This window comes from Homo sapiens, chromosome 7, assembly GCF_000001405.40.
Source record: "Homo sapiens chromosome 7, GRCh38.p14 Primary Assembly".
In the NCBI taxonomy this organism is placed as follows: Eukaryota; Metazoa; Chordata; class Mammalia; order Primates; family Hominidae; genus Homo; species Homo sapiens.
The window spans coordinates 99672563-99682849 of record NC_000007.14 but is presented as its reverse complement, the minus strand read 5'-3'; the positions used below and the strand labels follow the sequence as shown (position 1 = coordinate 99682849).

The 10287-nt window shown below is 43.1% G+C and overlaps 2 protein-coding genes across 9 annotated transcripts in view, besides 8 other annotated features; one reads left to right on the top strand and one right to left on the bottom strand.

Annotated features, from left to right (window-relative positions):
- The window catches only part of ZSCAN25 (zinc finger and SCAN domain containing 25), a 121090-nt gene that overhangs the window by 55186 nt on the left and 55617 nt on the right, over positions 1-10287 (bottom strand). The gene's annotated exons all lie outside the window — the stretch shown is intronic.
- Positions 2101-2140: a protein binding site, noted in NCBI's record as "-749 ARE". NCBI's record gives the evidence for it as "EXISTENCE:protein binding evidence [ECO:0000024][PMID:17116727]".
- Positions 2101-2934: a biological region, named in NCBI's record as "CYP3A5 promoter". NCBI's record gives its function as "regulatory_interactions: CYP3A5".
- Positions 2163-2901: a promoter, noted in NCBI's record as "-688/+49 promoter fragment". NCBI's record gives the evidence for it as "EXISTENCE:reporter gene assay evidence [ECO:0000049][PMID:15252010]".
- Positions 2736-2763: a protein binding site, noted in NCBI's record as "ER6". NCBI's record gives its function as "positive regulation of promoter activity" and the evidence as "EXISTENCE:protein binding evidence [ECO:0000024][PMID:15252010]".
- Positions 2736-2763: a protein binding site, noted in NCBI's record as "ER6". NCBI's record gives its function as "positive regulation of promoter activity" and the evidence as "EXISTENCE:protein binding evidence [ECO:0000024][PMID:15252010]".
- Positions 2769-2934: a promoter, noted in NCBI's record as "-90 core promoter". NCBI's record gives the evidence for it as "EXISTENCE:reporter gene assay evidence [ECO:0000049][PMID:11485307]".
- Positions 2773-2799: a protein binding site, noted in NCBI's record as "CCAAT site". NCBI's record gives its function as "positive regulation of promoter activity" and the evidence as "EXISTENCE:protein binding evidence [ECO:0000024][PMID:11485307]".
- Positions 2797-2816: a protein binding site, noted in NCBI's record as "BTE". NCBI's record gives its function as "positive regulation of promoter activity" and the evidence as "EXISTENCE:protein binding evidence [ECO:0000024][PMID:11485307]".
- Positions 2854-10287, top strand: part of CYP3A5 (cytochrome P450 family 3 subfamily A member 5) — a 31803-nt gene continuing 24369 nt past the window's right edge. For 2 of the 5 annotated variants that reach the window (NM_000777.5, NM_001190484.3), the window contains exons 1-4: positions 2854-3024; positions 6642-6735; positions 8265-8317; positions 10171-10270. In NM_000777.5, coding sequence (NP_000768.1) covers positions 2954-3024; positions 6642-6735; positions 8265-8317; positions 10171-10270 — 318 coding nt within the window. In that variant the 5' untranslated portion in view covers positions 2854-2953. Of the gene's footprint in view, positions 3025-6273; positions 6736-8264; positions 8318-9934; positions 10067-10151; positions 10271-10287 lie in introns of all 5 variants that reach the window. The other 3 variants (NR_033807.3, NM_001291830.2, NM_001291829.2) reach the window with 3 other exon arrangements.

Genomic DNA, 10287 nt, shown 5'->3' with positions numbered 1-10287 from the left:
AATTAACTTAAGAGAAAGATGTCTACAATTAATATTGTAAAACACTGATGAAGGAAATTGAAGAAGACACAAAAAAGAAGGATATTCCATGTTTATATATTGTAAGCATTAATATTGTTAAAAATGTCCATACTACCCAAAGCAATGCACAGATTCAATGCAGTCTCTCAAAATACCAATGGCATTCTTCAAAGAAATAGAAAAAAAAAAACCCTAAAATTTGTATGGAACCACAAAAGACCCAGAATAGCGAAAGCTACCTTCAGCAAAAAGAACAAAACTGGAGGAATCATATTACCTGACTTCAAATTATACTACAGAGGTATAATAACCAAAACAGTATGGTACTTGTATAAAAACAGACACAGACCAATGAAATAGAATAGAGAACCCAGAAACAATTCCACACACCTACGGTGAACTCATTTTCAACAATGTTGTCAAGAACATACACTGGGGGAAAAGACAGTCTCTTCTGGTGCTGGGAAAGCTGGATTTTAACATGCAGAATAATGAAACTAGAACCCTGTATCTCACCAGACACAAAAATCAAATCAAGGTGGACGAAAGACTGAAACCTGGCTGAGTGCCGTGGCTCATGCCTGTAATCCCAGCATTTTGAGAGGCCGAGGCGGGTGTATCACTTGAGGTCAGGAGTTCAAGACCAGCCTGGCCAACATGGTGAAACCACATGTCTACCAAAAAATACAAGAGTTAGCTGGACATGCTGGTGCGTGCCTGTAGTCCCAGCTACACAGAAGGCTGAGGTGGCAGAATCACTTGGACCCAGGAGGCGGAGGTGGCAGTGAGCTGAGATCATGACAATGCACCCCAGCCTGGGCAAGAGAGTGAGACTCTGTCAGAAAAACAAAAAACAAAAAAACAAAAAACAAAACTGAAATCTGAGACCTCAAACGATGAAACTGCTACAAGAAAACATTGTGGAAACTCTTCAGGATATTGGTCTGGGCAAAACTTTCTGAAGAACTACCCCACAAGCACAGGCAACCAAAGCAAAAATGGACAAATGGATCAGATCAAGTTAAAAAGCTTCTGTACCACAAAGAAAGCAATCAACAAAGTGAAGACACAAACCACAGAATGGGAGAAAATATTTTCAAAGTCACACTCTGACAACAGATTAATAGCCAGAATACATGAAGCGCTCAAACAACTCTGTAAGGAAAAATCTAATAATCCAATCAAAAAATGGGCAAAATTTGAATAGACATTTTTCAAAAGAAGACATACAAATGCCACATAGGCATATGATAAGGTGCTCAACATCACTGGTCATTAGAGAAATGCAAATCAAAACCACAATGAGATATCATCTTACCCCAGCTAAAATGGTTTTTATCCAAAAGACAGGCAACAACAAATGCCAGCGAGAATGTGGAGAAAAGGGAACCCTTGTACACTGTTGGTGTAAATTAGTGCAACCACTATAGAGAACAATTTGGAGGTTCCTCAAAACATTAAAATTAACATTAAATAGAGCTACCACAATATCCAGAAATCCCCATGCTGGGTATATACCTGGAAGAAAGGAAATCATATATTGAAGAGATAACATCACTCCAATATTCACAATAGCCACTATTCACAAATGCCAAGATTTGGAAGCAACCTAAGTGTCCATCAACAGATGAATGGATAAAGAAAGTACTCCAATTATACACAATGGAGCACAATTCAGCCATGAAAAAAGCATGAGATCCTGTTATCTGTAATAATATGGATGGAACTGGAGGTCATCATGTTAAGTGAAATAAGCCAGGCACAGAAACACAGATATTGCAAGTTCTCACATACTTGTGGGATCTACAAATCAAAACAACTGAGCTAATGTCTGGGCCTTAGTCAGTGTTGTACCCAAGTACTGGGAGCACAGCTTTTAAAATACATCATGAATGCTTTAATACAGGAATGAATAGATGAGAGGCACAAACTGGTTGGGTGTTCTTCTGATACACAGTATCTTCCTTGACAGATTCAGTACAACTCTCAACAGGTAAGTCTCTTCATGTTATGTTACCTTATGAGGAATTAAGTGGCAGAACATGATTTCTATTATTTTCCTTTGCAGAACAAGACCAACTTTATTAGTTGGGACACAGTGTGGCTGCATTTGAGTCCCAAGCAACCATTAGTCTATTGCTATCACCACAGAGTCAGAGGGGATGAGACGCCCAGCAATCTCACCCAAGACAACTCCACCAACATTCCTGGTTACCCACCATGTGTACAGTACCCTGCTAGGAACCAGGGTCATGAAAGTAAATAATACCAGACTGTGCCCTTGAGGAGCTCACCTCTGCTAAGGGAAACAGGCATAGAAACTTACAATGGTGGTAGAGAGAAAAGAGGACAATAGGACTGTGTGAGGGGGATAGGAGGCACCCAGAGGAGGAAATGGTTACATTTGTGTGAGGAGGTTGGTAAGGAAAAATTTTAGCAGAAGGGGTCTGTCTGGCTGGGCTTGGAAGGATACGTAGGAGTCATCTAGAGGGCACAGGTACACTCCAGGCAGAGGGAATTTCGTGGGTAAAGATGTGTAGGTGTGGCTTGTGAGGATGGATTTCAATTATTCTAGAATGAAGGCAGCCATGGAGGGGCAGGTGAGAGGAGGGTTAATAGATTTCATGCCAATGGCTCCACTTGAGTTTCTGATAAGAACCCAGAACCCTTGGACTCCCCGATAACACTGATTAAGCTTTTCATGATTCCTCATAGAACATGAACTCAAAAGAGGTCAGCAAAGGGGTGTGTGCGATTCTTTGCTATTGGCTGCAGCTATAGCCCTGCCTCCTTCTCCAGCACATAAATCTTTCAGCAGCTTGGCTGAAGACTGCTGTGCAGGGCAGGGAAGCTCCAGGCAAACAGCCCAGCAAACAGCAGCACTCAGCTAAAAGGAAGACTCACAGAACACAGTTGAAGAAGGAAAGTGGCGATGGACCTCATCCCAAATTTGGCGGTGGAAACCTGGCTTCTCCTGGCTGTCAGCCTGGTGCTCCTCTATCTGTGAGTAACTGTCCAAACTCCTCTCTTTGTTTCCTTGGACTTGGGGTGCTAATCGGGCCCCTTTTCCCTTATCTGTTTTGAAGATCAAAAGAGATGTTCAAGGAGAAGTAGCTGAAGTGTTGGACGCTACAAACGCATAGAAGTTATTATTATCTTATGCAGATCTATGAATGAATAAATAAGCATTTCTCCCATCCACCTTCTAATTTTGGTGACTAGGAGGGTTTAGGGACAGCATTTGGTAGTGGGAATGATTTGATTAGCTTAGATCTGACGAAGACTAATCAATGAAAACATGGCAGCGGCAGATTACAAACTGCTGATCATGATGGACAGTGTGATCCTCATCCCCTTCCCAGGCTCTGGGGATTCTGGGTACAGGAAGGAGTGGCTTGCATTTTTGTCTCATTAATTCGCTTTCTGGGTTCTGTGTCTGCTGGAAGGGATGTGTAGCTGTATTGCCCCTGTAGACCTGGTTCCTGCTCCCCCGCCTTCCAACCCAGGATATCATTTACATAACGCACCAGGGGACACCAAGACTTCATGGGAAGCTGTCCCCTGGCTCTTCCCTCTTTCCTGTGCCATGCCCCTGAAAATCCCCTCCCTCCTATGAGTCACTCCTCCACCCTGTCATACACAGGATGGTTTATCTTGCAATGATTAACCTCTAGAGCAAAGGAGACCTGGAGGAAGTTTCGAGGATTTATTCTTTGCTTTAATCTTTTTCCTCCCGTCTCTGGGAGGCTAGGATTAATATAGAGCTTTGTTTCTCACCTAATGGGAATCTACTAGCAGCCTGAAAAGGCAGGAGCCATGAAAGCCAATTTGGATTTTACATATTTTTCCCCTTTATGTTACAGTACAGGAGGGCAAACCCTCTCACTGGTGGGATTCCTGGCATCCTAGAGCAGGTGGAGAGAAGAGTTACTTTCCACTGTGGGTAGTGGAGGCTCCACCTGTCCCATTAACTTCTACCTCAATTTGACTTTTATTAAGAGCAGGGAACCACAATGACATGAAAATAGACACTATAAACCTCATTTTAATTCTTTCACAGAAAGCTTAGGAATTCAGTGAGTTGTGGCAACATGGTTTCCATTGTCTAACATTTTTAAATGAATTGATATGGTTTAAATTCATTCATTTTTAAACCAGAATTTTTTGGAGATAGACTATTTCCAGCATGTTCCTTCTGGATGGTAAAACAGGGCTGTTAGTTCAGTATTTGTGACAATAAGTGTGTGTAAAATAATGTCACCTTTCCTGAATGTCAGGAATATGAGTCTAATGCACAAATGTATACCTCTAAGACAAGACTGCACGTCTTTTCAAATATACCTGTCCGGCCATTTATTTTAATAACTCCTTTTCGAATATACCTGCTTAGCAGATTGTCTTAAACTCTCAGGACAGGGGAGTAAGCAAGACTGTGAGCCAGTGACGATAGCAAAGGCTTCCAGGTAGGATCCATATGAAGTGAGAAAATATTCCTCAGCTCTCAGGGTAGAACTCCAAAGAGATATTCATGGGTCCTGGCCCCACCGTGGAGGTCACTCAAAGGGCAAACAGGTTGGCATCTCATCTGCTTCAAGCCTGGACACAGGGGCACCATCTGTGTCACTCTGTGTGTGGTCTGCCATGTTGTGGGCCGGTCACTACAGACTCGGGCAGCCAGGCAGACAATGCCTTAGCCTTAGACAATGCTGGTGCAGCCCAGGAGTCAGAAAATGCAGTGTAGACCAGGCCCTCCTTAGGCCAACACAATTACATGCAATAGATGACTGGCTTTTCTGTTAGTCTCTTCACTGGACCCAAAGGCTGCATTACTCTACCAGAGGGGAGCTGGAAAGAAACTAAAGAGTTCGCCCAGCACAGCATCTGCCTTGACATGGTACCATGTGAATCTAGACACTCACCAAGATCTTTCCTTGGGGGCCAATGCTGCTGACACATTAACTCAATAGCTTGTCCTCACCTGAGAGGTCAGGTAATGTGTTTAAAGTTCAGGAGCAGAGATTAGTGTCATTGATTTGACATGGCTGTGACAACAAAGGAGGGAACTGAAGTGGGAATACCCAAGGCCACCCTGGCTTTGGCAGGTGGTGCACGCACTTCCACTAACTGTTCTGGGGCAGGGAACCAAATGTATGACTGGGCCTGCTCATGCTGCCCCTGCTGAGTCCTCCAAACCCTGCCCTTCATGTAATTTCTCAGTTTTATTTTATCACATTTTATAAGTCACTGGATGTTTACAAAATGTTTGGAACCTATACTGCCTTGAAGGCTAACCTCTAAAGAGGAGTAAACAAGGTCTTAATACAACTCTCCGGGACGTTTTATCATTACTTATCTTATATGCCATACTGCACCATTTGCTATCAACAGGAAAGTACCTGGACTTTGGAAGGTCCCTCTGTGTCTTTTAGCTGAAAGTACATATGAGGCATGTGGATTCTTTTATGCACATCATCTTTTTCAGCCACATTTTTGTAGTTTGCCTCTCTGGAGCCAACTGTGTGGGGCTAGCAGCTTCACAGCTGAATCAGTGTCTGGCAACCTCTTCCTTCAGCCTCTCTTCTTCCTCCAGTTTTCCATCCCTCAGTCACACCGGAGGGGGAAGGTCTGCAAGGATCCAGAACCATCAGTTGGAGGAGTTTGCACATGACTCATGAAAGATGAGTTCCAGGCAGGCCTGCCATAGTGAACACCAGGCTTAATGGGTTTTTCCTCAGAGATACTTCACGTACAGAGGCAGTGAACTGACTGCTTTCTGGTTGACCACCTTGAAAAAGATGAGTGTGCCTGGCACTGTGCTTCTCAGGTGAGTATGACCTGAGAAGTATTAGTTGCTGGTTCTTCTGCACACAATCATTCAAGGACATATGGATCAACCATCCTCCTCAACAGCTCAAATCAACCAGATCATCTGACCACAGAGACTGAGGTGTACCTGAAAGCTGCCCACATTTCTATAAGGCCAATAGAAGCCATGAACACAGTTGTCAATCTGTAGAAATAAGGACTCCATGACTCCTCCAAGGCCTCTCTGTGAATGAACGTTTAAGAAGGGCTAGATCCTAAAACAGGGTCAGAGCTTAGAGGGAAGAAAAAGCATAAACATTTCTGAGCAAATTGTAAGGGCAGTGTCACCATAGGCTCCCAGTGACCCTCTGTGATTGAGTGCATACAGTGATGCAAAATCTCATCATCAGTGCAAAAGACAAAAAAAATCTTACTCTTTCTACCTAGGATGAGAGTCCCCAAATCAGCGAAGAGTCCACTTACTAAACAGACATAAGGAAATGAAGTGTCCTGGAAGAATTCCTGCCTGAACCTCTCAGGAGCATTTGAGGACATTTATCAAGTATTCACTCCAGGATTGGGACTATGAAGACTTCAGCTGCTTTCAGCTAATCATTGAGACTTTTCAGGGGTCTCAGAATAGTCAGGAAAGGACCTGATGAGTGAATGCAATTACTGATGTTGGAGTTGCTGTTATTATTTATCGTGTACATATTACCTCCCTCTCTTGACCATTCCAGTTCCTGAGTAACTCACCAGCCCTCTGATCTATAAAGTCACAATCCCTGTGACCTGATTTCTGTTTCACTTTGTAGATATGGGACCCGTACACATGGACTTTTTAAGAGACTGGGAATTCCAGGGCCCACACCTCTGCCTTTGTTGGGAAATGTTTTGTCCTATCGTCAGGTGAGTTGCTTGAGCTTCCTCTTTTGCTTCTTATGGTTGCAAACATCAGCTTAGTTCCATCAGTAAAAATGCCCCTCCTTGGGAGGGAGTTCTGAGGTTTCACATTTTCAGAAATGGTGGGACTGGGTGCAGTGGATCATGCCTGTAATCTCAGCCTCTGTGAGGCCAAGACTGGCAAATTGCTTGAGCCCAGGAGTTTGAGAACAGCCTGGGCAACACAGTGAGACACCTGTCTCTAGAAAGAAAAAATTACCTGTGCATGATATGGTAGCCCATGCCTGTAGTCCCAGCTACTCTGAATGTTAAGGTGGGAGGATTGTATGAACCCAGGAAGTCAAGGCTGTATTGAGCTGTGATCGCACCACTGCACTCCAGCTTGGTCAACAGAACAAGACAGAAAGGAAGAAAGAAAGAGAGAGAGAGAAAGAAAGAGAGAGGAAGGAGAGGGGAGGGGAGGGGAGGGGAGGGGGGAGGAGAGGAGAGGAGAGAAAAGGAGAGGAGAGAGGAGAGGAGAGGAAAAGGTGTGTAGGCTCCACCCAAAGCATGGCCAGGTTTACCCCTGGAGGGAAAGTCACAAGCTCATGTCCAGAAGGCCAGTAGCAGCAAGCTGCTCTCCAGCCCAGATTTCCTATCCTGTGTACCTGGAGCTTGTTTCTCAGATTCTAACTCTCACAACTGAAGCCTCTGTTGTCTGATTACTATCTGAGAATTCTACACAATTTTACCCTCGATAAAAGCAGTAATTTCTTCTTCATCTTTCCCAGATCAACTCTTGTAGTAGATCAACATTTCTGGGACCTTCTTTTGCATGGTTAAAACATCACAGCTGAATCTTAGCAACAGGAAGGTTTGTTTTTATGTTTCAGAAGTGAAAGCTCAGAGCACGCATTGTAATTTGCTGGGTGTGATGTGTAGAGGTGGCATTTCTCCATCTTTTCTGTGTTAAGCTAGAAAACTGGAAAGGAAGTCTACTTTCTCATTCACTCACTCACTTTCTCACTCAACAACATGCCTTAGACTTATCTAAATCTGCAAGACTAAAAGAGGTTCCTGGTTTCTTTAACTTTCTAATTCTGCTAGAGTTCTAGAGAGAGCACATGAGATAAATGAAAAGGATACTGATGGAGGAGATTAAAAAATTGTGCATTCCCTGCAGACACTCACTTTTCCTCACCTCAGTTTCACCCCTGCCCTTGCAGGTGATCATTCACGGGGTTAGGAGACTTTAGAGAGAATAAAAGAAAAAGCAAAAATACATCAGAAAGACAAGGAATTACTTACTGGTCATAGACAAGGGTGAGTCCTTCAGTACTTAGAGAAAATTCAAGAGTGACTTTAAATTCCCCACTTCAAATATATTCTCTGTTTTCTTGTCTTTCCCTTAAGACATCTCTGAATAGCTTCCTTCAACTGCCAGTGAAAGATAGCAGGCCTGATTTCATTGGACGCAACTGTTTTCAGCCCCAATTAGAGGTAGGGTTTATTCTATTTAAAATAATAATCAACTTGTATTTTGTTTCCTCTCCCAGGGTCTCTGGAAATTTGACACAGAGTGCTATAAAAAGTATGGAAAAATGTGGGGGTGAGTATTCTGAAAACCTCCATTGGATAGACCTGCTACTGTGAGGAGGTTACCCCACTGCAGGATAGTCTCTGCCCAGGTCTTCATGGGATGAAGCTCTTGTCAACCTAAATACAAACAGAGAGAGGTTCTCTGAAAGAAGAGGATAATTACTTGGGAGTAGAATATTGCAATGGGAATCTGCTTGCCGTTATAAACTATGTGCAAATTCAGGGAGGTAAACAAGACAAAGATGCTCCATAGAAAATATGAGAAGAATCTCATAACTGTTTTGAGATAATTATTGTTAGCTACAAAGATCAATAACAAGGGTGATGCCACACCAAGGTTGGACAGGCAGTTGCTGGACAGGTGTCCTTGCAGAAATATTTTTGTGTAAAGTTGAAATAGCCTTTGTGCAAAGTTGTGGTTTTTGTAGACACTTTTGTAATAGTTTTGTTTCCAGGAACACAAGCATAAGAATCCTCTCTTCATAGCCTTCTTGGGATTTATTTGTCAGGGTTAAAAAACAATTAGTGACATCACTTTGGTTCTGATAAAGTTCACACTCGCTATTGTAAAACTTTTCGAGGCTTGTCCTACCAAGGATCCCATGTGTCACCAGGTATCGAGGTCTTCAGTCTGAACTAGGCTAGGAGCATTGTGGTTACCACTTTTCTGCAGGTTTTGGTGGCCCAGGGACTCCCAGCATCGCCTTCTGTCCAGTGTCTGCCTATTCCCCTCTTCTTTTTTTCTTCCTTAGGTGCCCTTTTATCACATGCATTGTCTCAGACCCTTCTAATATGTGCTCATAAATGCATGGCATCATCTCCTTCCCACATTGATTCACTTTCAATTAAAAGCCAAAACTCCTTCATTTAGACTGAATTTAACATGTGCTTTTGAAAGAAGGGTTGAGAGATAATAGAGAAACAGATTGGGAAACCACTTATGCTCCACTTTTTTAAACTTTCTCTGCAAGTATGGAATTTTTTGTTCTGCTTTGTTGTTTAAATTTAAGCCAAAACTTCTTAATAGAAGGATATACAAATATTTATTGGTTTATACCATTGCACTTACTTTGAAGAAGAGATGCTGAATATTATTAAACCATTGTGTTCCCTGGTGGGCTGATGGACTGTGATTTTATAAGGTGGTCTCAGCCAATTGCAGCAGCTGTTCCCTGTCAGAGGGGCTAGAGGTTTGGTGAGAGCAGTGGATGAGGTGCAGTGGTGTGTTTGTTCACTAGAAGCAAGTGGGAGAAAGCTTTGCCTCTTTGTACTTCTTCATCTTCTCCCCTCAAGTCCTCAGAATCCACAGCGCTGACTGTGGAGTGCTGTGGAGCTGGCATGGCCCATACAGGCAACATGACTTAGTAGACAGATGACACAGCTCTAGATGTCCATGGGCCCCACACCAACTGCCCTTGCAGCATTTAGTCCTTGTGAGCACTTGATGATTTACCTGCCTTCAATTTTTCACTGACCTAATATTCTTTTTGATAATGAAGTATTTTAAACATATAAAACATTATGGAGAGTGGCATAGGAGATACCCACGTATGTACCACCCAGCTTAACGAATGCTCTACTGTCATTTCTAACCATAATCTCTTTAAAGAGCTCTTTTGTCTTTCAATATCTCTTCCCTGTTTGGACCACATTACCCTTCATCATATGAAGCCTTGGGTGGCTCCTGTGTGAGACTCTTGCTGTGTGTCACACCCTAATGAACTAGAACCTAAGGTTGCTGTGTGTCGTACAACTAGGGGTATGGATTACATAACATAATGATCAAAGTCTGGCTTCCTGGGTGTGGCTCCAGCTGCAGAATCGGGCTAGTGAAGTTTAATCAGCTCCGTTGTCCCCACACAGAACGTATGAAGGTCAACTCCCTGTGCTGGCCATCACAGATCCCGACGTGATCAGAACAGTGCTAGTGAAAGAATGTTATTCTGTCTTCACAAATCGAAGGGTAAGCATCCATTTTTT